Below are 27848 nucleotides of genomic sequence, written 5' to 3' on the forward strand. Positions count from 1 at the left end.
ACAGCACGGAGAGCATCTACTCTGCCTGTGATACCCTGTGGGCTTCCACTGATTACTAAACAGGGCACAGCAGGACCAGATTTGGAACCCAGGTTAATGAATTACATGAGGTTTTATTCCATAGAAAGATTTTAACCAGGAAAAAAGTCTAGGAAACTAGATTTTAACTAGGACTTCTAAACTTTTTGGAGGCAAAAATAAATAAATAAATAAATAAAATAGATCCAAAGATTCGTTTCTTTATTTTCATGTCAGACTCCCATGACTAGTTTGTCAATGTAAATGTGGATGACTGTGGTGGACAGCTTAACATGTGCAGTGTACATTGTAATGCTTCAAGTTCCAAAGCACATGCTATTTACAAGCGATGCCTACAGACAGGTAGCAAATAAACATGAAACGTTGTCTGGGCTATGAAATGAAGAGTCAGTGACTTACAGCATTAGGGTAATGTAGGTACTCTCAAGACTTGGTGTATATTTCTCTAGAATGAATGACATTCTTATTTATTTTGTTTCATATATCTATGGAACTGAACATTAAGTCTGATAAATGCTCATCACAGATAGAGTAAGGGATGGTGTTCAAACATGCTGAGCGCTTTAGTTGAGTGGGCCTGAAGCAGACTGAGGTTTCTAAGGGCTTTAATGAGGACAGGGCTGAGGCCTTTTGTAGTAAAGCCTAGAGTAGCTGGGGCTGGGAGGCTCTTAGGATTCTCCGGGCAGTGAATATTTATCATCTGATGCAAATAATTCAACATGTTAACAACCATTATGGACATACAAGCTGAATTGTAGCCCTAGATATGTGTCTTGAGAAAGCAAAGCTCTTACTACTTTCAAAACAAATTTCAAAATATCTATGAAAAACCATTTTGAACTCTATCATTTCTCTGTTATATTTTTTGGGGTAGTAAATTGTAGACTATGCCATGGTCAAAAGTTAACTACAAGGCTCCCCTGGAGGAGAATATGCCACCTTCACAACAGGAAAGAACATGATGGTCAGCTCTGCAAGAACCTGGTTGGAATCTCATGAGCCTTTAAAAACTACCACTGAGACTGAGCTGACCAGCAGGAGGGAACCCTCTGAGACATTTCTTCAAAATTGCTCTGACAAAGAAAGGTCTTACAAACAGGTGAGTAAATGCCAACTTGACGTAATCTGAGACAGTCTGAGGAAACCAGGTTCTGCACGTGTACAACAGGAAACTCGCCCAGGATCTAATCATCACAATTTTCAGTGGTTGCCACATTCATCTTTTGCTACGCTTGCTCCTCAACCATTTTGGAACTCATCTCTGGATTCATTCTGAGCACTCCACTGAGACTCTGAAGCATTTGTCTTTTCACAAGGGGCATGAATCCCCGGGGAAGTCAGGCAGCTGCTGGAGTAAGGACGTTAACCTCCTCAGAGTAGATTCCTTATTTCATTAAGCAACAGCTTCGCCATTCAATTTCAGAAGCCTGATTCAGATCATTAAGAGAACAAGCAATGTAACCTGTGCCTTTGAAGGTTTCCTGGTTTCCCTACAGCTGTGAATAATCTGTGGTTTCCCCACATTATCATGTAGGTAATTGCCTGGGGAGCAGTCACTACAGCAGCTCGCCAACCTGGTCACAGCAGCAGGCCGGGGGGAAAGGCCAGACTTCATGACCAGTTGGTCAATGTAAATGCTGAAGACTTTGGTGGACAACTTCCTCACATGTACAGTAGACACAATCATGCTTACCGTTCCAAAGCACACCGCTACCTACAAGAGGTACACACGGACATTTAGCAAATAAACATGAAACATTGTCTGCAGATTTGGCCAACGATATTGCCTGCATGAGACAGAGAACATGAAGAATAAGAGCAGCTCAGGGCTGATACGCTGAAAAGAATAGCAGTTTAGGACTGATATGCTGAAAGCCAGAATAAGTTCTTCCTCCACATCACAAAACTATAAACTGCGGGAAAACAATTTACGAAGGGATTGATAACCTACCTGAACTTTATTCTTGAAGCATAAGAACTTAAAATCTACCAGTCACTGCCAAGTATTAATCTGTTTTAAATAGCTGAGATTTACTGGATACCATTGTTGGCCCCCAATTATCCAATGTCAACCACATTTCAAAGTTTAGAGAAAGGAAGGATTTAAAGTGGTTTTATATATAACAGTAAACGTTTGTCATGCATTAATATTTCAGAGACACAACTTTAAAATAAATCAATACATAAAAGTGCACTGAATTAAAATTCTGGCATGAACTCAAATGTTCATGTATTCCATTAGTCTGCGTGGGATTTTTATTCATTAATTTAACATCTCTGATGAATAATATTTCATATCTTTCTTAAATTTATTCTCTTGTTTCAACATTAGTAAGAAATTATCCCCAATATCTACTCAAAATAATTACAACTAATATTTAAGTGTATTTCTCCTATCCTTACCAGATACCCAGAAGCTGTTCAGAATGAACTTTTACATTTATGACTTTTTAATATACCGAGAGAAACAAAATAATCATGCCTGTTTTATCTTCTTTGATGAAGGTCAATAGGGTGGGGCTAAGAAATTGTCATCACATGGCCAGCCCAAGAGGACTGAGTACAGTGGGTCAGGACACTGGCCTGTCAGCTTTCTGCCTGGAACAGGCCAGTCTGAGAAATAAAGCTGTGACTAAATTACAGCTATCCGAAAAAGTTCCTCCTTTCATTAGGAATTTTATTTCATAAAAATAACTCACTATCCACCACCCCTCAACTAAAACACGTTCTGATGTTAAGTAGTGGGAGCAGTATGACAAGTCGGTGGAGAAACACAGTTGTAAAGACTGACATGAAGCCAAGAGCACAGCAGCCTGTACTCACATCCTGGTTCTGCCATTTGCAAGCTGTATGACGAGAGCCACAGCCCTTAATCTCTCCATTTCTCGCATGAGAGTTGAAGCTTCTTTCTGTTCTGCCATCCAATAACCCCATGCCATCCAGGAGGGATTCTCTAGGTAATTTTATGTGGCCCCATTTGCAAGCAAATTCTAAACAATCCATCATTTTCTTTGGAAGAGATTGTTCTGATCATCTTTGAAAACACTTTTTTCACAGAAATATTATGTAGACACAGTATTTTTTTTTTACTAATGGTCATCCATGCGAACACATAGCTTTGCAAATTCCTGTTTTTCATATAAACAAATCATACGTTTGTTTTTTTTCCTTTCATGAAATATTGTATGTGAGAGTCATCCATGTCGTTACATGTAGAGGCAGTTTGTCTCTTTCCAAGTTTGTTTATTACTTCTATGGTTAATGAACATTTAGGTGATTCTCAGTGGTTGACAATAGCGCTTGCATCTCCTCTGGACGTTCTCTGTACCTGTTGTGCCTAGCTGCTCATTTCTGTTGGACACATGCCTGAAATGTTCCTTATGTTCAGCTTGATGGTAAAACAGTTTTCTAAAACGGTCGTATCAATTCAGATTTCCACCAATAGTGCAAAAAAAAAGTCATTGTTTTGTTCTTTATGTTTTAAAATGTGGAATTTCAAGCTGTTTGTTTTAGTTGCTTTGGGCTGGGGAGGCATTGAGTCTGAGGAAGGTCCTCAGTGTGGCGAGCTCCCTCCCACTTCCCAGCCCTAGAAAAAACCCTTGTCCCACTTTTCTTCCGTTTGTCTAGAAGTCCACCATGGTTCTCCAAGGTGGACGTGATTATTTCTATTTTATAAAACAAGGTAGCAAGACACACAGGTAGAAGGGGTACTGGCTAATCGTAAGTACTTAATGAAAAGTGCAGAGTAAGAGTCAGTCGCTTGGAACCCATAGATGGACACTTTTTCCAAAATCTTAAAACTTGTGCCATTGAGACTTTACAAGAATCTTTTGTTCTGAGAGAAATTAAAGTAGATATTTAGGAAAAGTGGTTACGTGTTTCTGATTTGAATGAGTTATATTATTAAAAACTATTTTTTTTCATGGAGGTTTAGTGGTTTTAAGAATTATTTAAAGGTTATAATATATTTCAGTAATTTATTTTGATTGAAACAATACTTCATGCATCCATACCTACCTAATAGTTCCCTCAAATACAAGATAGCAAGGGAGGTCCACTGCCATGGAAACAGGCAGGAGGCCCATGTGGAGGTTTCTAGACACTCTGCAGAGCAGTGGTCCGTGGAACCTTGAGGGGAATAGGAGCACTTGATTTCCTCCATTCCTTCCGCTAAACGTAACTGAGCACTTTCCAGGTTCTAGATAATGGTTGTTATTATTTTTACACTGTTTTAAAAGGAGAGGCAACCATGCATGCCACCAGAATCCAGGTATACTCCTAGATAGAGCTCTGGAAACTGCATTTCAAATCTCAGAAAATGTGAGCATTGGAGAATGGGGAATGCATACGTTTTATCCAAATTAGAATTAACCTGGGAACATGGGGCTTTCAATAACTCAAAATGCCTTTCTAATAACATGAAAGTCTTCATTTGGTATAAAGGTCTTCATTTTAATTAAAAGGGAAAATCAATAGTTATAGGGAACTATAACCTAAAAACAAACTAATTATTTGTGTCAACACAAGCTTTATCGCCACTGTCAGGGTTTCCCTTGATTTATGAGATGAATGTTCCCTATAAAAATTGGAATTTTATTACAAACACTTACTTTCATGATGATTTATCAGTTACAGAAAATCAATGGGAATTTCATTTTATGAAAATTGTAATTTTATAAACAGCCGGGTAAAGGTGTGTAAAACTGGAGCCCAACACTTAGATGACTATTTAGTAGTGAGGGGGCCCTCATGGTTCAAGATTAATATATTTTCAAAAAATTTATCTTGTAGACACTGAAAACGTCTAGATGATGGATTGTGCTTACAAGGCACTTATTTAATTATAATTAATGATGGAGGCAACATATAAAGAATGGGCTCAATTTTCAGCTGATTTAAAGAAATAATGTGTCCTGCATAAATCTTACATTCAACCACAGCCCAATATATACAGCAGATATTGCAAATATATTGTGGGTTTTTCCCCTGCGTTTTCTACTACTTTTGTTCACAATGTCATTTTAAAAGTGAATAGATTTTAAGAGTAGCAACTGTAGAACAGTTTTACTTGTCAAGCAACCTTACTACTGCTTCTGACATGACTTGATGATATAATTGGAGAGGTGAAAGTCAAAGAAGAAAGTGTAAGACTCCGAGAATAAAGAATTTGGAGATGAAAGTTAAAAATGTAAGGGAAGAGTAGAAAGAATATTTTATGTTGGTTGTCATTTATTTGACCAAGAAAAGCACCAAGTTAAAAAGAATATATTATTTGTCTTTGAGAAGTTACACAATTCTGTCCAAGCATCATACGCTGGAAAACAAAGAAGTTTCTCATAGAAAGAGACCACCAGTGGGCTGATTTCATATAAACGAATCATACGGTTTATGTTTTTTTTTCCTTTCACGAAATATTGTATGTGAGAGTCACCCATGTCGTTACATGTAGAGGTAGTTTCTCTCTTTCCATGTTTGTTTATTACTTCTATGGTTAATGAACACTGAGGTGGTTCGCGGTGGTTGACAATGGTGCTCGCATCTCCTGGGGACATTCTCTGTACCTATTGTGTGTAGCTACTCATTTCTGTTGGACGCATGCCTGAAATGTTTCTTATGTTCAGCTTGATGGTAAAACAGTTTTCTAAAACGGTCATATCAATTCAGATTTCTACCAATAGTGCAAAAAATATAGTCATTATTGAGTTCTTTATGTTTTAAAATTTGGAATTTCAAGCTGTTTGTTTTAGTTGCTTTGGGCTGGGGAGGCATTGAATATGAGGAAGGCTAGGAACCACAAAGGGTTTCTTAGGAATTCCAGATAATCTGCAATCGTATCAATCCAAGTAACACTGACGGAATTTTTGTTCTCTTACAAATGACCATAAATGATAAACGTGACTACAATAACGTTAAAAAGATTATAATATATGCGAAGCATAAAAATGTATGTTCTTTTTAAAATGTTCTTCTCCACTTTATATGTATATATATATCTTATATATATCATATATATATGATTCAGGTTAAATATACGATATATATGATTCAAGTTGTTTGACAACATTTGGAAAGATGAAAATAACACAATAATGTTTACATTATGTAAGTTTTCACTATAATTATTATTGTTGTCTTATTAGTCCCCAAATATCAATCGACTATGCTTTTTTTTTGTTTCGCAATTTTTGTTGGCACAAATAATATCAGGCTTTCCTTCTTTAATGTATTTAGTTCAGATAAAAGGTACAATACAATTTGGGCTTCATGCTTTTTAATCTCGGTATAGACAAGAGGGAAGATTCAGCTGAACAAATGTTTTCCCTGCTTGACAGAAGGTTTCACATTTGCCCTCTGAAGGAACAAACTTGATGATCTTACTCGCAAAAAACCAGGACAGCCCCGTGTGGAGGGCTGGGTGGCTGGCAGGGACTCTGAGAAGGGCCCATCTCATCCTAAGCTGTTGCTCTGTCTCCAGCTGTCCTTAGGTTTGTTCTAGAATCAGCAACAGCAACCATACTGGAGCTTCCATTCCTTGGTAACAGTTCTGCCCTCTGGATCCAGAAAAATAATCGTAGTGCCTTTCTGCGTACTGTGCACCATGCGCCCTCTAAGATTCCTCACATCCTCCTTCTGATGGGTCTTGTCATCTTCCTCTCTCTGGTCCTTCTTCTTCTTCAGAGGGTGGTGTCTAGTACTGAACCTAACCTTCCACAGGCAGTCTGCGTAAATGTGGTTTTAAGCAGGAAGTCCCCTGTTCAATGAGGACCATGTGGTAATGAAAAAAAGGTAACTTCCTTGTACCGTGTTGTCTTGGAGCTGAACTTTAAAGTCAGCCTTGAAATGTTTCCTAATGCATTACTGTTAAGCCAGGCTTACCTCTCTTGATACCTTCATACCTTTTGACCGTTTTAGAATTAAATGCCAAATTTTTGACTCCTCTCTCCTTATATATACAATTGAAGTGTGTGTGTGTGTGTGTGTGTGTGTGTATATATATATATATACACGAACACACATCTACATCTATATATAAATTATTTATATATTTCTTATATAAATATAATACAATAAATTTAATTAAATATAACTACATACAGTTTATACATATAAATGTTTATACTTAAATATATAATTAAGCATATATTATAGAATATATATAAATAATGTAATTATAATTTATGCTTCTATAATATATACAAGAATGAAGTGTGTATAACGTACGTACAGTTTAATTCTATAATGTAGTTGTATTGTTTATATAATTTATATACTCTATATAATACTTTCATTAATTACATATTTTTTTTAACTTTTAAAATCAACGTCTGATACATCTAAGTGATTGCTATTTTCTGCCAACCAATGAGTTTCTTATATCTACCATCTTGGAGCAGCTTCAAAGTTGATATTCCATTTTTAACCTTTCTTTCAATTACAGATACAAATGCCAAGTTCACTGATCAGGTTTGAGAAACAAACGCTTAGAAATTTTTCTTTAATTCACTGTTGTTCAGTTACTGAGAGCTCTAGGAAAAGATCAATTTACATTTTAGAGACAAATCTGTTAATCAACCTAACTGACTATAGGATCAGTCCATTGGCCTTGTAAATATTGACTTATGGTTATGTTAAATCTGGTACGGGATGGACATATCCATAGATAAGGATCACTGAAGAGAAAGTGCAGACAGAATTTCTCTACCAGACCACATGGAGTCTTCCTCATTCAAACCCACCCAGCCTGGGTGTGCACCCACCTCCCACCGCCAACACGTCCATCCCACCTTTACTCCATTCTAACTACAGCCACAGTATATGGCAGTCACAAGATAACGGCAGATATGGGGAGGTATGGAAAAGGAGGATCGGCCTGGCCTGGCTCCAGGTGAAGGGAAAGCACATTAATTTCACTCTAATAAAATTTCAGGGCAGCTTCTTTGCAACCAAAGAAGATCAAGCTAAGAACCTTCCGGCAACATCAGAAGGCAATCTAAGATGGACAATGTTCCTGATGAAGTCTAAAATATATTTTGGCGCTGGGTACGGTGGCTCACACCTGTAATCCCAGCACTTTGGGAGGCCGAGGCAGGCAGATCATCTGAGGTCAGGAGTTCAAGACCAGCCTGGCCAACATGGCGAAACCCCATCTCTACTAAAAATACAAAATTAGCCGGGTGTGGTGGTCTGCACCTGTATTCCCAGCTACTCGGGAGCCTGAGACAGGAGAATCACTTGAGCCCAGGAGGTGGAGGTTGCAGTGAGGCAAGACTGCACCACTGCACTCCAGCCCAGACAACAGAGCAAGACTCTGTCCACTGCCACCCACTCCCCGCCTGGCAAAAAAAAAAAAAAAAAAAAAAAAAAAACATATTTTGTTGAAACGAATTTGCCCCTGGATTCTGAGGCAGGAAGTTCTGCGTACATCATGTGCCCCAGGGACTGGGTGGCAAATAAAGACTGCTGGTTCCGATGTGTACTTCTCAGCACCCTCTGCATTTCATTCCCCGCAACTGACCCTTGTTTCTCTACTGGTCATCCTGAAGGAAACGATGAAAGCATTATGGATTTTAAAATGTGTAAGATAACAGATATTTAGACCAGTTTGTTGAAAAATTACTAAAATCTCCAGCAGGAGCTATAATTAGATCCCTTTGCATTCTGACTTTCATGGGAGGTATTTACAAACTGCAAACTGTCTCCGTGACCTGCTAGTTCCTGCAGCATGGAGGATGCTGTAATTTCTCTGGCACTGCAGGGCTTGGTGTCCTCTCTGGCACATGGCAGGTGTTCAGCGAATGCTACCTTAATGGGGTCAACGTTCTCATCGTCACAATGTGGGGAAAGCTTAGGCACTTTGATTGGGAAGGTCCATTATTTTCAAAGTCATGTTATTTTAATTTGGAAATCGAAGTGGAATGGTTTTTAGGAGACTGCTTAATAAACTGAATAGTTTTTTGCTGTGTTAATAAGGATTACTCATTATTAGAAACATACAGGAAATGATACAATATGATCTAGGTATAAACCTTAGAAACCAGAGAGAAAAAGAACATTTCATTACCAAGCTCTGTCCTAATGACTACAGACTCCCCATTTTGCTCAGCTGCAGGAAATCCAGAATCTTTCTTTTAAGATTCATTGTGTGTAAATTACTGAATCATGCATTTATGTGGTGTGAAGACCTTTTAGGATTAAAAGTGATATTACAATACTTTTTGTGCATTTTCATGCAACCTATATGCTATAGCATGCTTAACATGAATGTAAATACAATAGCCAAACTGCTGTGGATATTTACAGATTAGATGCATAATAATTAAAATCAATGATAATAAATAGCTATTGATTAAAACTTAGCAATTGTTCCAGTGTATCAAGAAACTATACATATCCTGTATACTGTGATAGTGATATAGCTTTACTAATAAGTTCCCAGCTGTCGACTATATGATTTCCAAAGATAACTGTGAATAAAAGAATTAGAAACCATTTTCAAGCTATTTATCCAACTCCTAAAATTTCATGGCTAGAAAGGATCAAAATATATTACGCTCTGTTTTTTTTTTTTCTTATAAGATGGAGCATCCTTACCTTGGAACTGAGCGTTAAATCCTTTGCGTCGGTGGTTGCTGTCAGAGGTGAAATGGAGTCGTAGCCAATTCTTGCTACTGATAACTGGAGAGGGGAGGTTCATGCCAGTTAGCCTAGAGAAGAGAAAGAGGAAAAAAATCTCCCTTGTAAACCAACAGAGCAAATGTCCTATATCAAACCCGCTTTGAAATCCGATTACTTAAATCCTTCATCTTGAGATGCTTAAAACAGAGGCCATGTATTAATTGACTTTGAACCTTAAAACGATCAAGATGATTTTATCTTTGCCCAAACATAAATGCTAAATCCCTAGATGGAATGAATGTTTTCAAAAATATTTGATACTTTCATTCTCCTTTATTAATGGTGAATGCAGGAGGAGGTATTCTTTTGATCTCTTAGTTCTTTTCATCAAGATCTTAATCACAATGAATCAGAAAAAAGGAAAAGAAATAGGAAAATGATAAAATTCTGTGTTTCACAATTTGAAGACTTAGTAATTCCTTATTTATTTATTTATTTATTTATTTATTTATTTATTTTGAGACGGAGTCTCACTGTGTCATCCAGGCTGGAGGGCAGTGGTGCGATCTCGGCTCACTGCAAGCTCCGCCTCCTGGGTTCAAGCGATTCTCCTCCCACAGCCTCCTGAGTAGCTGGGATTACAGGCATGCGCCATCATGCCTGGCTACTTTTTATATTTTTACTAGAGACAAGGTTTTGCCGTGTTGGCCAGGCTGGTCTCGAACTTGTGACCTCAGGTGATCTGCCTGCCTTGGCCTTCCAAAGTGCTTGGATTACAAGCGTGAGCCACGGCGCCCGGCCACAAGACTTACGAATTCTATGTAACCTGAAGTAGACGCCAACAAACTGTTTCTCATGCTTGGTAACAAGCTATATTCCCAGCATCCCATTTGCAGGACTAAGAACCTGGGCCTTTCCTACCAAAGTAAAGAAGAGGACCATTTATGAGATTGATGACAAGAACTGCAAAAGAGATTTGAAATGGAATAAAATTATGTTTTAAGAAAGCAGTGCATTCATTTTAAAAATAAGATGCAATCAATTTCTGGTTAAGCTGTTTAAAATATCCATTTCACTTTACAACGTGCAGTTTAGTTGTCAGAAACAATCATGTGTTTTATTTCTCACTATTGAAAACCTTATGTGCTTACTAAGGAATAAAAGCATTCCAAGATATTAAAGCTCCTGCCCGTTAGAGGCGCAAGGGACACATTTAGTTTTTCAGTGGCATAAGCATCACTGGATTAGGATGCTTCTGATACAGGATTGCGTGCTGGCTCGACTTTGTGCTAGGTGAAGCAACATAGGTGGATCATGTTTATGAACCTCTGTTACCCATTGTATAAACTGGACACGAAAATACCTGTATCAAGGGTCGAAAGATGATAGAGATGCACATGTAAATGTACCTGAAGCACATTCTCCATGTGCTCTACAAGTGGTTGTGCACTGAATAATTATTTTGCATCTTGGTAACAAAATCTATTTTCAAAATGATGCTTATTAGTGTAGATAATCTGTAAGGGTTTAAGCAAATTGCTTTTAGCAGGAACTTGAACTGTGGTGCTGCGTGTGGGCCTGCCTGTGAGCGCCGCAGCTGCTTGGTAAAGCTGAGGACCTGATTTCTACACAGACGATTTCCTACGAAATGGGTCACCTGTGTAGAGAGCATTTCCCTACTTATTCTATTACCTGGAAGAAGCAACACCAGATGAAATACATAGTCAAGCTTTCTGATGTCAGGGGGCTCTATTCCAACTCTCAGGTTTAAAAATGTACAGGATCCACTTTAAGTTAAAAGCCAAACCTTGACTGTAACCAATTACAACAGTGTTTATGCCACTGTTTGAAATAATCTTCTGTAAGAGAAGTACACTGCTCAGATTTGCCTCTTTGCTTGGATTTATGTAGTACTGGCTGGTGACAGCTGGACACAGCTGACTCCAAGGCATATTTAATCACCTTTTTTTATTTTTCTGGTGAGATTATGTTACAAATTCTATAGGCCACATACTTATTTGCCTAATACGGAGAATGTCTAAAAAACTAGATTCAAAAACCCCCAGTCTGTGCCACTCACCTGTACTTACTGAACTTACAGGTACTTTAAAAAATCATTGTGGCCGGGCGCAGTGGCTCACACCTCTAATCCCAGCATTTTGGGAGGCCGAGGCAGGTGGATCAAGAGGTCAGGAGATCGAGACCATCATGGCAACGGTAAAACCCTGCCTCTACTAAAAATACAAAAAATTAGCCGGGCATGGTGGCGGGCGCCTGTAGTCCCAGCTACTCGGGAGGCTGAGGCAGGAGAATGGCGTGAACCTGGGAGGCAGAGCTTGCAGTGAGCTGAGATCGCGCCACTGCACTCCACCCTGGGCAACACACTGAGACTCCATCTCAAAAAAAAAAAAAAATCATTAGTTTCTTTGTATATTAAAAATCAATAATTATTTTTATACACACAAATATCACATACAAAAAACGTTAAATTCAAACATAGAAAATTTAAAAACTACAAACACATAGATATACACTGAAATTAAGCACAGAAGCAAGCCTACCTTTTCCACATCAGATACGATCCTAATGTAAAATATATACATAGCTAATAGTATCCAAAGCCCTCAAAATACTGCACTGATATTTATTCAATCCCCTGTAAGTTTCCATTTCATATGGTGATAGAAGACTATGAATACAAAAGATCAGCGAATGTAGGAAGCTGCATGTACTTGCTAAACTTTTCACAACCGCAATCAATGCTTGTTTTGTTGCTGCTTTGAACATATATATTTTCTCACTCGCATTACTTATGAACGGTTCTGACTGAAAAAACCAGGTGGAATTTTTTTTTTTTCTTGAGACAGTGTCTTGCTCTTTCACGCAGGCTGGAGTGCAGTGGTGCAATCACAGCTCACAGCAGTCTCCGACTCCTGGGCTCAAGCCATCCGCTTGCCTCAACCTCTGGAGTAGCTAGAGCTATATGTGCACACCATATCTGGATAGTTTTGTAATCTTTTAATTTTTTGTAGAGACTGGGGGTCTCACTATGTTGTCCAGACTGGTCTTGAACTCACAGCCTCAAGAAATCCTCTCACCTTTGCCTCTCAGAGTGCTGGGATTACAGGCGTGAACCACTGTGCCAGCCTGGAATTGCACTTTATTTGCATGCCTACATTAATAATGATCACAAATAAATCCCCTCTCTACCACCACCTACACCCACATCCACTCTTTACCCTCATCTGTATTTCCAAATACCTACTCAGAACAATGATAGTTTTGTGTCAGTCAACAGGATATTTCTGTAAAGGGCCAGGGAGTACGTACGTATTTCAGGCTTTATGGGTCACATGGTCTTTGTTGGAAATTGTTCAACTTTGCAGGTGTAGTTGGCAAGTAGCCATAAAATGGCAGTGGGTGTGTTCCAATAACACTTTATTTACGGACACTGAGATTTTAATTTTTATACAATTTTTTTGTGTCACAAAATAGTTACTTTTTGATTGTATTTTTTCAGTCACTTAACAATGTGAAAGCCACTCTTAGCTGATGGGCCAGATTTGGCCTGCAGGTACTAGTTTGCTGACCCCTGCTCTAGCATATATGAAGCGATTTGTAAAAACAGACCCGGTGCAGTGGCTCACCCCTGTAATCCCAGCACTTTGGGATGCCAAGGTGGGTGGATCACCTGAGGTCAAGAGTTCAAGACAAGCATGGCCAACATGGTGAAACCCTGTCTCTACTTAGCTGGGCATGGTGGCAGGCACAGGTAATCCTAGATAATCGGGAGGCTGAGGCAAGAGAATTGCTTGAACCTGGGAGGCAGAGGTTGCAGTGAGTTGAGATCACACCATCACACTCCAGCCTGGGTGAAAAGAGCGAGACTTCATCTCAAAAAACAAACAAACAAACAAAAAAAACCAACAACAAAAACACCGAGCTGGAAGATAAACAGATGATGCATAGCAGCCTAGTGTAATTCAGGTTTAAAAAAAATGCGTAAGTCCTGCACAAATTCCTTTTATTTTTGACAGTCTTGCTCTGTCACCCAGGCTGGACTGCACTGGCACAATCTCAGCTCGCTGCAACCTCTGCCTCCCAGGTTCAAGTGATTCTCCTGCCTCAGCCTCCTGAGTAGCTGGGATTACAGGCACCGGCCACCACACCTGGCTAATTTTTGTATATTTAGTAGAGATGGGATTTCACCATTTTGGCCAGGCTGGTCTCAAACTCCTGACCTCAGGTGATCCAACCCCATCATCTTCCCAGAGTGCTAGGGTTACAGGCGTGAGCCATCACACTCAGCCTTGCACAGATTCCTTTTATAGAGAAGCAAGGGTGAGGGCTTTAGACCAATTATACAATCCATTTTCCATGAAGAAGCCATTCAAATGAATTGTACCCCGAAGTCGATTTTTGTACATGAATTTCCTGATTTGACCTTTTGCGTTAAACAAATGTTCATAGACTTTTGTTGTTTGTTTGGGAAAGGGGGTTGTTCCAAATGAGACCTGGCCTTAGAACTGTGTTGTTATTCTATCGCTGTCTACAGGGCCAGGAGCTAATCTTATAGCTCTCATCTGACACAAAGTTGATGCTATAAACTCAGTTGTTTCTTCATTACAAACTACGTAATTTAAAGGAAGATGATTACTGTACAAATTAGGTGAAATTGTGAACTCTCTAACAACTTGGTGTTTCAGTTGAGATTTAGAAGAAAAGAATTCAACTGAATGGCTTTGTGGGAGGCAGAATCATACCTGCTACAGACAGATCCCCAAGCCCCGAGGTCCTGCTCTCTGGAGACTGTCAATGTGTCACCTGACATGGCTCATGAGGACTTTGCAGAACAATGCGCTTACTGAGCTTGGGATGGGGAGATTATACTAGATTATTGAGTGGGCCCAATGTAATGAAAAAGATCCTTAAAGTGGAAGACAGAGGCAGGAGGACAAGGTTCCAGGTAGAAGAGCCTGTGGACAAAGGTCAGAGTGACGCATTGAGGGCTTCACCCTCTTGGCTGACAAGAAAGCTGCTGATACCTTTATAACTGGAAACGCAAACAAACGCCTTTTCCCATAGAGTCTCCAGAGAGCAACACAGCCCAGCTGACACCTTGATTGTAGATGTGAGATTTCTAATCTATTTACTGAACATAATAAACACGTGTTGGTTTAAGTCATTGTATTTGTGTTAATTTGTTATGGTGGCAAGAGAAAGCAAATCTCTTGTTGAGATGTATACATTAAATATGTATAGCTTTTATATGTCAACCATATCTCCATAAAGTGGCTTAAAAAGACCAAAACAGAAATACGGCCTGTTAATCAGAATGATCTAGAATGATCCTGAGGAAAAGGACAGAAAACAAAATATGGTACAATGTGACACAATTCTTATCTATTCATAACCTTACTGAATCCAGGCAGTTTAAACCCTTTATAAAACAACCAGTGACTGAAGATCTACCGCTGTTGGAGTGAGGTTTCCTGGAAGTCTTCTACAGCTGTTAGCCACACTTCTTTTAGGCCTGCTGGATTTGGTTTTCTAATAAACAAATAGTTTGGAAAATGAAAGAGATTATGGGGCAAATGGTGGAAAATGGGCATGAACAGAGACAAGATTCAAAGTAGAAACCTCTAAAAGAGAATAGGGTGCCAGGCACAGTGGCTCACACCTGTAATTTCAGCAATTTGGGAGGCCAAGGTCAGCGGACCACCTGAGGTCAGGAGTTCGAGACCAGCCTGAGCAATATGGTGAAACACCACCTCTACTAAAAATACCAAAAAAAAAAAAAAAAAATTAGCCAGACATGGTGGCAGACTCCTGTAATCGCAGCTACTCGGGAAGATGAGGGAGGAGAATTGTTTGAACCTGAGAGGCAGAGGTTGCAGTGACCCGGAGATTGCACTGTTGCACTCTAGCCTGGGTGACTGAGAGACTGTCTCAAAAAAAAAAAAAAAAAAAAAATGAGGAACGGGGAAATAATGGTAGTGATCAACCAATGTCTTCCCGCATTAATTCAGAGCGCACTGACCATTTTCTCTCCTGATGTCCAGAAACACAGGACACACGCCTGGTGAAATCAAACGGAGCTTGCCAGGTCAGGGATATTGGTGCTTAAAAAACAAGGGGGTTGAGAAGTGAGAAAAAGAGTAAAAGAGTAACAGGCTGAGAAAGGGTCTTCTTAAGGGAATTTTGACATGCCCTATTTCTGGAGCATCTCAATCTAGGTCAGGAAACCCACAAAGCCATTCAGTGGGAATGTTGGACAGCTCCTTTAGAGATGGCAAAAGGAACTGGTTGTTCCCACTTTTTTCCCCTAAGAATACCAAATTAAGCAATTTAAAGCAATGCCAAATTCATTTCCTTCAGAGGATTCAACTGGGTTTTGCTTCTGCTAAGAGTTAAAATAAATGGAGGACTCATGGGATCCTTACAGTTACGACGACCTCCTTTGAGCTTAAATAGAACAGGCCAGTCTGTTTCATTTTCTCCAAATAATTGTACCATACATTTTAGGATTCTATTTATAACATACTCCTACTCATTCTTTCATGTAACCTCCCTCAGCCTCACTTTTCTCCGATGGGATATAAGGGCTGAACACATTGTTCTAACATTTTACAGCACTCTGTATGTATGACTCATGCATTTCGCGTATGTGACTTGAAAAATGAAGAGTCAATTTATGGGGATAATTTTCTAAAATGCATTTGGAAATGCTAATGGTTTTGGATATCGCTTTGTTTGAGTACTTCTCTTACATTAAGCCAGATTTCTTATGTCTTTAGAAAATCATCAGAGAAATGTCTGGGGGTCCCTCTGCAGTTAAGTCTCTTTAACTATGATGACTCAGAAGCCAGAAAGCATTACTGCTATTGGGAGAGGCTTTAAATGATCTCTGCCCACAGGGGGACTAAGAAATTTAATAAACCTATTACTTGGAGGAGACCAGTTTTGTGTCAATTTGGGCAGAAAGCCATATAAAAGATGTGCTTTTTCTTTTTTTTTTGCATTTTCTGGACATGCAATCCAAATGATTTGTACTGTGGTGTTTCATTATCTCTGTTTTGTCAAAATTAAATAGAACAACCTGATCAAACAGAGAGTTCCTGACATGTTATGTTTTGAATTGGCTGTTACTCACATTGTAAGTGAAATCATTTCTCTCATGAACATGTTTTGAGTTTATACAACTGTTCCAAGTCTTATTTTGGACATTAGGAAAAGCGACAATGAACTCTCATATTGCAAGAACATGAAAAACAGTTAAAAGAAGGTCTATGTGTGTGTGTATACACACATAAAATAAACACAATAATACCCAGACACAAATATATATGTACACACGCACATACACATATTTACATAGTTACCAATATTTCTAGAAATTTAATTCAAAAGTTTTGTGCACACGTATATACTATCTGGGGAAAAACAACCAACTATGAAACAAAATAAAATAAAAAAACCCATATGGTATATTTAAAACTGTACCACAGAAGAGTTTTCATTCAACAGTTCTTTAATCAAAACGACCATTTTTTTTTTTTTTTTTTTTTTTGAGATGGAGTTTCACCCTTTCACCCAGGCTGGAGTGAAATGAGATGATCTCAGCTCACTGCATCCTCTCCCCACCAGGTTCAAGCCATTCTCCTGCCTCAGACTGCTGAGTATCTGGGATTATAGGCACAAACCACCACACCTGGCTAATTTTTGTATTTTTAGTAGAGATGAGGTTTCACCATGTTGGCCAGGCTGGTCTCGAACTTCTGATCTCAGGTGATCCATCTGCTTAGGCCTCCTAAAGTGCTAGGATTACAGGCTTGAGCAACAATGCCCAGCCAAAATTACCACTTTCTACAAGTCATTTCTTCCACCCGGAGCGGCACTCATGATTGTCTCTGGCAAAGGCCTTCTCTCTCCCTGACAATGATTTTTCTCCCTCTGGCTCTCTTTTTTCTGGGAGCACTCTCTGAGGCACCATCATGCTCCACACCAGTGGCCATAAGCATCCCTCTTGGTGACATCATCCACTCCTGCGACTCTAGCCACGGCCTTTAGCTTTTTCCTTGTGCCCTCCTATAGTCAATTTTTTAAATGAAAAAATAATTTCTAGTCTCCTGAGCCCTCCCACTCACTCCAGCTTGGCTCATTCTGCTTTCCAGCCTCTTCAGGTGCACATCGCCCCCATCCCCTGCTTTCTACACCCAGAAACAGCTGACTTCATGCAGGGCGCCATGCAAAGCCCCATGTGCCCTCCTGACTCAGATCATCCCATGCGCTGTCCCTTACCTGGAGATCAGCAGAAATATCTGCCCTGCATCCCACCTACTCTGCACCTGCCTGGTCGTTTCTGGCTCTCCTTTAAATTTCAGATCATGTGTTGCAGTCTCAGGGAAGCCTGCCCTGATCTCTAAGATCAGGCAGCTCCTCCTTGGCTATGCCCTCTCCTGACACGCCAGACTTACCCTTTGCAGACATTTTCAAAATAGTAATGACTTGGTATAAGGCACATGGCTGTGCTTTGGTCAGATAGGCTGAGGTAGGATGTTTATATCCTCTGTGACTCAGCGAGTCTGTAGCACAGGCGTGTAACTCCATTTGGTATCACAGCCATGTAGCCATAACATGGGAAGCCCATGACTTGGCCCTAAGCCGCTCTTGTCTGTGGAAGGTATAATCGCCCTGCTGACGCCGTACAGGCACACTGGTGCCCAGAGAAAGAGAGAGAGCCAAAGCTGTCCGTCTGCAAAGATGGTCGGGGGGAGCCAGGCCACAGCTCGGCTTGGTTTATTCCCAGAGAGAGAAAGAGTTAAGCTGCTGACCCTGAAGGCAAGGGAGAGCCACCCACGCAGCCGTGTGTAAGGCAGCTGCCAGAGTAAGCAGCCGAGACACGGTGGACAGTGTGAGGAAGCTGCTGATGAGAGCTGCTACTGAATAAAATCAACTTTCACCTGCCTACGCCCCACAGAGTGTTCTTTCTGCTCATCCCCCAACTCTCTTCAGATCTCACCATGACATTTGGTGTAGTCTTGAACCGGACACTTGGTGATTTGTATAGTTATTTGCTTAATGTTAGTCATTTTTGCGAGATTGAAGCCTGTCCTATTCTCACGGTCTCTCTGGCACGTAACAGAGTGCTGGGCATGTGGTAGGCACTCAATGCACATTGGCTGAATAAGCCAAAGAGGTCTCTTCACCCACACTCCCAGAGCCCTAGGCCAGTCCCACATCATAAAGTAGAAATGACTATATGAAACCCTCGATGTTATGATGCCAGCTAGGGTGCTTATACTTCGGATATTTTGTCTCCTCCAAATCTCATGTTGACATATGATTGCCGGTATTGGAGGTGGGGCCCTGTGGGAGGTGTTGGTGTCATGGGGGCAGAACCCTCATGAATGAATGGCTGGTGCCTTCCCCATGGTAATGAGTAAGTTCTCACTCTTAGTTTACTCCAGAGCTGGTTGTTTAAAAGAGCCTAGCACTCCCCCCTCTCCTCTCCTTTGCTCCCCTTCTCACCCTGTGATATACCTGTGCCCACTCTACCTTCTACTGTGAATAAAAATTTCTTCAGGCCCTTACCAGAAGCCAAGCAGGTGCTAGCCCCGTTTGGTACAGCCTGTGGAATTCTGAGCCAAATAAACCTCTGTTTTAAAAATAAATTACCCAGTCTCAAGTATTCCTATATAGCACTGCAAAACACACTGACACAAGTGCCTTTGTGGCTAAACAGTGTCATAGTTGGATAAACCCTGTACCTTTGTACAGAAACTAGATAAGTGAGGAGATAAATGGTGGTAGGACAATGACCAGGGCTCCATATTCTCAGAGGACCCAGGTCCCTGCATGCACACATAATCCTGAGGACACTATTCACATGGAATGATTTCCTCCAAAGCCTTAGACCTCAGCACCCCTGACTGGAGATGCCTTATCTCCTTATCTTAATAACCTCTATGGGAATCAAAAGATCCCATAACTCACTTGCCCTAGAAACGTCCTCAATTCCCACTCCCCACATCTGTCTGTTTGTCATGAAGCTCCTCAGCAGGTGTTTGGCACACAGCCACCCCTTGTTTCAGGATTTCTGGAGGCCACAGGCTCTCAGATGTATATTTCTGGTTGCACTCAAAAAGACATGACTAGAGGCGACCAAAGCAGGGCTCAGGGAGTGCACAGCACTCTCTCACTCCAGGGACCCCTCCTCCATTTAGATTTGCACCGTACGCATTAGGTCACTAAGTCACATGTGTTCCACCTGCAAAGTACGCTTCTCGCTTCTCTTCCAGCTACACACTGCCTGTGTTCCCGTCCAAACCCTGGTGTCTCTCCTTGTGCTGTAGGGAAACTCTCCTGAGTGTACTTGTGCTCCCTGCCCCTCTCTGCTCTAAACCACATTACATAACTCTGATATGAAATACCACAAACATAATCAAACATATATAAACAACGTATGAGTGTGAGACACCTTACTGGGCCCTGAAGACATGCGTGTGAGTGAGTAGAGGCACCCACAATCTTTGAGAGCAGAGTAGCCCTGGGTGACGGATGTCACACCTGAGACATCACCAGGTGGGGAGTACAGGTTGCTGTGAGTGTCTGCAAGAGAGGATTTAAACTTCTCTTGGATGGCAGTTTCCTTGGAGATGTGATATCCACATTGTGACTTACCATGTGTCTGGCTAGACAGGGGCTGGGGAGTTCATTATCTAGAGCAGTAATCACCTGAAAATTCATGGGGAAGCTAAATCACAGCACTGCCCTTTTCTCTTTCTTTTTTTTTTTTTTTTTTTTATTTTGAGAGACATTCTCACTCTGTTGCCTAGGCTGGAGTGCAGGGGCACCATCTTGGCTCAGTGAAACCTCTGCTGCCTGGGTTCAAGGGATTCTCATGCCTCAGCCTCCCAAGTAGTTGGGATTAAGGTGACTGCCACCACACCCAGCTCATTTTCGTATTTTTAGTAGAGACAGGGTTTCACATGTTGACCAGGCTGGTCTCGAACTCCTGACCTCAGGTGATCTGCCCACTTCGGCCTCCCAAAGTTCTGGGATTACAGGCATGACCCACCATTCCTGGCTGCACTGCCCTTTTTTCTAAAAATATTTTTCATAGCTTTCAAACACCCTTAAAAAGAGGTCAACTGTCTTAGTACTGAAGACCCTTTATAATATGAATCGATTTGTTTCTAGCCTCATTTCTTATCACGCCCTTTCGTGAACCTTGTGTTCTGCCCATGTGGTGGCGATCACTCCCTCGACTGTCTGCTGTGCTCCTGCTTTCGCCCTTGATCCTGTGCAGTCAATCTATGCTAGCCCCACGGACTCACTTTTGCCTGTGTAAATCCTTCCCAAATTTCCAAGGTTTTTCAGAAGACATCCCTTCCAGAGACCTTTCTCTCCTTGTCTTTAATAGACTTAACCACTCCTACCTTTACAGCATTTGTTTCATAGGCTTCCCTGGAAGTTACTGTGTGTCTTACATTATTAATGGTTGTGTAGAGGTCTACCTCACCTCTGCACTCTGAGCCCACTGAGGGCATTGGTGCTAACTCAGACATCTTCCTCTTCTTTGTAGTATTCTGTATGCACTAAAGCCTTAACAAGTCAATTCTAAATGGTTTCTTTACTTTTATTTTTGCTCCTAATGTAAGTTATTAAGAGAAGTGAACCCTAAGATGATAAAGCATTAAGAACAGTAAGAGAATGCTGCTCTTGTCCTCTCATGCCCAGTGGCTTCCCATCAGCACTGCAGCCTTGCAGGTGGGGGCGCCCAGGGGGTGAGATCTGGCATCCTCCTTTTGTTTGCCCCAGCATAGCTCCAGAGTCCTACGGGTGGAGACAGGTCTCAGGAATCCAGTGGGGACACACCTTCACCATTGAGGAAGGAGAAAGAGGAGGATGACAGCACTTGTGAGAGATAGGGTATGAGAGTCCATCTCAAACATGACAGACTTGAGAGAAGGCTGTAAAAATGGCCTGGATGCCAGCAAATCAGGCATCAGGAATTAACCCAGAGGTCAGGCAGAGAGGATCATTTGGGAGAGGATGTGACAAAGCCCATCTTCTTAAGCTTAAGGACTACGTGCCAGGGAATTGCTCAGAACTCAAGCCTGGGAAATGGCTCAGACAGACAAGTAATTCGATAAGACAGTCGAGAGACAGTGGCCCTGATGGCATTTCTCTGTGGGTGTGTACTTTGGGCCTCCTGTCCACGGAAGGGACAGAGGAATGAGGCCAGCACAGTGGTGCGCTTTCTTCTGCCGGATGAGAGAGCTGTCATGCCCCACCTGGAAATCTCCTCACAGGCCTTTCAATGTGGGAGGACCCTCCACGGGTGACGCAGATCACACTGGTATTAAAAATCTTGGTTGCAACAAGCTAATCTGGATCCAAGTCAGTGACCTGGAAAACGAAACCTCCAAGTGCCTGTTTCTAACCCTTGGCTGTATCCAATGTCCTGGTACCTGGGTTACTACTGTCTGTGAAGACAGGCCTCTCAGGCTTGCCAACACGAAGAAACAAACAGGGAGACACCCTTTGCCTCCTATAATACTTGGACATTTGAAACAGGGAGCAGTCGGCACTGGCAATGGATATCCATATCATATTTTGACTATCAAAAAAGGCAGTGTCGCCAAACACAGAGATCTCTATAATAAATTCCACGCACAGTCGATACTCAAAGACTGATAATAAAGAAAATAATTTAAAAAAAAAACATGGTAACAATTTATTTTGGGTTCACTGACAATTTTCTCTTGATATTATTTTTAGCATACATATTCTTTAGGAATATCATTAAAAAACACATTTTTCTCCTTAATCTTGGGATAAGAACAAGTCTTATCCTAGCTCATTCCAAGAGCCTGAAATGAGTCTACCATTTTCTTTTTTCTAGCAAATTTCTTATATCACTTGATAGACTGACGCAGACCTTGTTCAGTCAGCTGGTAAGATATCCAACGAGTCCGACGGCAACAGATGCAGCACGGCTAATGCAATCATATGGGTCCCCAGGCGAAAAGACCAGCAGCCCTCAACATCTGAGATCATATGAGCTCTCATAACTCCGGAGCTCTTCAGCTGCTTTTCAGCATCACTGCCTGCCTCCTGCAGACCCACTTAAACCTCACTCAAGTACAGTAGCCGTGGGGTTCCGCTGAGGCTGCTGTGTCTCCAGCTGGTCTGTCTGTGCTGTGCTTCTTAGGTCACGCTGCCATCGTAGAAAGCAAGTTCATTCCATGCACAGGCTCTGGACTGAGGCCAAAGAGCAGCTCAGGCTCTTTTATGAAAACCAGCCGCCTTTCTCCCCGACCTGCACACTCTGCAATGGTGTGGTCATTACGAACACGGACAGTGGAGTCATACTGACCTGGGTCCAAACACAACCATGTCCTTTCCCATGTGGGTGACCTCAGGCCTTTACTCAGCCCTCCTAAACCTCAGAATTGTTCATTGTGTGAATAACGATATGTGCTACTGCAGACTGCAAGCTGCTGCTGTTCTCTCAAGCATCTTTTTCTACTTCCCCCAACCTAACTAAGGCTTAGATTATGCTCTGATCCTCACTTTATCCCATAACATCCAAAGCTGATTGCTGACCTTATCCAAATACGAGTGTGTGGATCTATCTCTCAACTATGTTTTATATCCACTTGCATATATATTCACGCAATGCATACTGTATATGATATATGGTATACAAGTAATACCTATATATTATGTATATTATACAGTGTATGTCTACATATACTTTGCGTTAAGAGAAGTGAACCTTAAGATGATAAAACATTAATGACACTCAGAGAACAGTGCTCTCATCTTCTCACGTACACGGGCTTCCACCAGCACTGCAGCCTTGCGGGTGGAAATGCCCAGTGGGTCAGATAAATAAATACGTCTATTTATTTATATATCATGGTAAAAAGTTAAAAAGTTTCCCAACTTCTTAGCTTTTTTCCACTTTACATTAATGATGTGAACATTACACGTCATGGGATGCTGAACTTTTAAATATTTCATATGTCTTTGCAGTTCCAAACTCCATGAATGCACCAGGTATACAAAACAGAATCAATCTTTGACCCCGAGTATAGACAGCTACGGTCCATATGATTTAGAGTCATATATTTAAAGACAGGCCAAAATGTGTGTCTTCAAAGATAGCAGAGAGGGGGTGGACAGTAAGGTAGGAGAACTAAAGCCCAGAAATTAAGGGAATCTTTAGGAAGAGTGGTTCCTGGCATAGACAACCATACAGTGGCCAATGGCAACAAGGCGGAGACGTATTCCCGGGCCAAGTGAATATCATGATTGAGCTAGGTGGTTGGTTCACCTTCCCACTCAGTGAATAATCCAACCTAACTGTGGAAGCTCATCTTCAATATGATTGGGAAATTCCAAACACCCAGCCTTTAAGGAGTAACATTCCTTTAGATCAATCCATGTTTATAAATGTTTTAAATTGATTACTGTAACCAGAAAATATATTTCCAACATATTTTTTTCTGAAAATTTCTAGTTTATGCCATAAACAAGAATATAAAATAGCATGAGACAATTTATAAGAAAGTCCAAATGGCTCAGACACTGCTAAACAGAAACAAGAGTACTTTAAGTTCAACACAGAGTGTAACATTAAATAGAAGCAGGAATTGACCATATTTTATTTTCACTTGCTCCAGAAGCTCAGAACTTTTAAGTGTTGTGTTATTGCTCCTTTCCAGCCAGTCTAGCAAAGTTATGTAATTTCTTTATTAACACGCAAACCAAACGGATGTATCCCACATTATTGACACACTCTCAGAAATCGTAAGGCTTGTCCTAAGTTTTGCTGGTAACTTGCTAATCCATTACTTCCTTGGTGGATAGTCTAAAAGAAAAAATGCACAGGCTCTAGGAAATGTCCATCCTAGAGCACCACTTCTTTGAAGGAGGGTCTACTTAGCACTCACTGCTTTTCAAGAATCTGCTGTGTTCCGATGGAAGGTGAATGGAACAGGAAAGGCCTGGCGGATTCCCGCACAGCAGGCCCACAGCACACCTGGGGAGGGCGTTAGTTGCTTTTGGACAGGCAGGTGTGTTTGGTTAGAAAGTCAGTCAGGAAAAGTCAGAGTTGAGCAAACTAATTAAAGAGATGACTTTTCCTTATTAGTTACTATACAGTTAAATTGATTAAAAGATGAAAACTTACAATTTCCCCTTGCCATGATTTTACAAGCTTTTAATGTTCACAGACATGTTGGTGACACCTACAACACTCGAAGGCAATTTGATCATCACCATGATTCTTCCATATATATCAGTAACAAACTATAGCTAAATAGTGGTCTTTAGTTAAAATCATTTTGAGAAAAATTGCAAATATGTTAAAAGAAAGTTGTACCAAATTAGATAACAATATCCATTAAATACTATGTTAAAAAGCATTCAATGACACAAAAGAATATGTCAGATACATCCAATTCCAGTGTAAAGTGACAGGCTGAACTCATTGTTTTTCTTCCACAGTTGTTGAGAAAATAGAGGATAAAAAAATAAGAAAAAATATAATATCATTAAAATTAGTGACAAAAATACACCTAGTTTTCTATGTGCTTTCCTTTACAGATATGTACACGCAGATATAAAAGTGAAGTATCTATTTATACATCATTTAAAATCCACTTTTTTCCATTAAGAGAATGTTATAGCTCTTTGTATATCTATATATATATGATGTGTGAATTCTGTGAACTATTCCATTGAGTGAACATACCATTACTTATTTAACCAATGTCCTGCTATGGCAATTTGGTATTATTTCTCACAGTCTCATAAGTTTTATAGCACATCACCTTACGATGCATGTGTGTTGAATCAGCACTTTTATTTCACAGGATGGACTCCTAGAAGAAAAACGTATGTGTCAGAAGGGATGTAGCTCTTCAGGACTTTTGAGAAATGCCTATTGCAATATTGCTCTTTACAAAAAATAGGCTTTGGGAAGAAGCCTTTGAAAGGCACTCTGTGAATTCATACAGTGACCTGCCTTTTTCTTCCTTTTTTTAGATCCGGCCAATTTTCTACCTTTGCTGTGATTCCTGATCAGGGAAGGCTTGCGTCTCTATTTCCAGATTACTCCCTTCTTTCCATCAGAGCGATTGGCACAGCTGTCTCCAGCAGGAGACTAAAGGCTACCTGCAGCCCTGGCCTATGCCACACTCATACAGGTCCCTCTCCCATGATTTTGAAACATTTCTACACATGGCTTCTTTCCTTGGTGCAAGAAAATACTAGGCAACTGGGCACAGTGTCTCATGCCTGTAATCCCAACACTTTGGGAGGCCGAGGGCGGGGGTGGATCACAAGATCAGGAGTTCAAGACCAGCCTGTCCTATGTGGTGAAACCCCGTCTCTACTAAAAATACAAAAATTAGCCAGGCACGGTGGTGCGTGCCTGTAATTCCAGCTACTCGAGAGGCTGAGGCAGAAGATTCTCTTGAACCCAAGAGGCAGAGATTGCAGTGAGCCAAGATCACACCACTGCACCCCAGCCTGGGCAACAAAGTGAGACTCCATCTCAAAAAATAAATAAATAAAAAGTAAAGAAAGAACATAATAGGAACATTAAGAGGCCTGTCGCACATGCAGAACGGCCATAAATGAAGGGAAGAAGGGTCTGAAAGGAAAATTGTTTTTAGTGCTTTTTCCCATCATGACTGACTGTCGCCCCAACACCTTGTGATCTAATTTCATGTCACTGTAACCATGATGGTAGCTCTCTTTCCCTTCCATTGCCTACTCCATTCCCCGCCAAACCCATACTTAATTGCAGTTTTTCTTTATACTCTCTCAACCATTATATATTTAGCAGCTGACCTAAGAAAAGATAAAGGAGGAAAAACAAATGGTCCTGTAGCTCATATTTTTTAGTCTCATAGCATTTTGCAGGATTAAATTAATCATTTTCAGATAGCTTGGTGAATCTCCGAATTCAATAGGAGGTAAGCAGAAATTGCCCAGTGCATGTTAATTTGGACAGTTTCTCTCTCTCTCTCTCTGTCAGTGTGTCTGTGTGTGTGTCTGCGTGCGTGTGTGTGTTTCATTTGCATGTCTGTGGTGGACAATAGTCTTGGGGGTATTGTATTCTCAGGATCTTGAAAAACTGTATCCAAATTGTGAACAAAAAATAAAACATTTCAACACACTGGAATTATGACTTGGTGCACTTTGGGGAAAAACGATGACTACTCTTTTTGGGGCCAGCTACTTTGGGGTTTTGAAATCGTGTTTGGCTCCGTGAGCCACTCTTGCTTTGAGGTTAGGTCCAGAGGCTGCACCTGCTGGTGCTTCTGGAAGCCTTGCTTACTCTCAGGGATAACAGACAAAGAAGAACGCTTAGAAATTCAGACGGCATTGCTTCACACTCTGCAAAAAGAGTTTACAAAGGAGAGATTTCATTCAAAATGCTTTTTGCAGATGATAGCAAGTTCTTCTCTCAGTTGCTGGTGGGGGGGCAAGCAGGGCCAGGCCAATTCTCAAGCTCTCGAACACACAACAGTTTGGAGCTTCTGCTCATTTGGGTGACTGGATAGCATCACCATTGCAGAAACACAGCCCTAGAGACCTGGAGAGCCTCAGGGGCAGGGAGTCAGGCAGCATCAAGTTGGAGAAAGGTGACAGAAGCCAGTGCTGAATCACCCCCAGGAAGCAAAACACAGGAGGAAGAGAACGGAGAGGCCCCTAAAGACCTCGAGGTAAAAGCAGACAAAACGCAAGATTCAATGACATTGACTGTGTGTGTTCAAATGACAGCATCATGCTCTCTCCATTGCAGGAAAGAACTCTGGGAACCCTTTACTATGAGGCAGAATGATCCGTTCAATACATTCTCACTCCTTGTCCTTGCTTTGCCCACTTTTGAATCTGCCACAGTCCTGATCTGACCCAGATATGAGCAGGAGAAAAATAGCCCACAGGCAACTCAACAAGCCGTGTAATGTCTACTGGCATTCAGCAATTACAGCATTTATCCAATTCTGGGCTGGTGAGAATCCATACCCTCCTTTGAAATGGATCTAAAGAGGAGCTTCTAGTGCGAGCATCTGAGTCTGCCATTATGCTACCAATCCAGGCGGTTGATATTAGGGTGATTTTGTGTGAGTGCTCTAAACTGTAAATGAACACCTCCTTTTCTCCTT

At 41.0% G+C, this 27848-nt stretch overlaps 1 protein-coding gene across 3 annotated transcripts in view, besides 2 other annotated features; it reads right to left on the reverse strand.

Moving 5' to 3' along the window:
* Nucleotides 1–27848, reverse strand: part of CSMD1 (CUB and Sushi multiple domains 1) — a 2059554-nt gene that overhangs the window by 808939 nt on the left and 1222767 nt on the right. For all 3 annotated transcript variants that reach the window (XM_011534752.3, NM_033225.6, XM_017013731.2), the window contains exon 6: nucleotides 9631–9743. In XM_011534752.3, the coding sequence (XP_011533054.1) occupies nucleotides 9631–9743 (113 nt within the window). The remainder of the gene's footprint in view (nucleotides 1–9630; nucleotides 9744–27848) is intronic.
* Nucleotides 1362–1863: an enhancer, noted in NCBI's record as "NANOG hESC enhancer chr8:3603183-3603684 (GRCh37/hg19 assembly coordinates)". NCBI's record gives its function as "activates a minimal SCP1, AML or CMV promoter by ChIP-STARR-seq in primed H9 embryonic stem cells {active_cell/tissue: H9 hESC(primed)}" and the evidence as "EXISTENCE:reporter gene assay evidence [ECO:0000049][PMID:30033119]".
* Nucleotides 24388–24975: an enhancer, noted in NCBI's record as "OCT4-NANOG hESC enhancer chr8:3626209-3626796 (GRCh37/hg19 assembly coordinates)". NCBI's record gives its function as "activates a minimal SCP1, AML or CMV promoter by ChIP-STARR-seq in naive H9 embryonic stem cells {active_cell/tissue: H9 hESC(naive)}" and the evidence as "EXISTENCE:reporter gene assay evidence [ECO:0000049][PMID:30033119]".

Source organism: Homo sapiens, chromosome 8, assembly GCF_000001405.40.
Source record: "Homo sapiens chromosome 8, GRCh38.p14 Primary Assembly".
Classification (NCBI taxonomy): domain Eukaryota; kingdom Metazoa; phylum Chordata; class Mammalia; order Primates; family Hominidae; genus Homo; species Homo sapiens.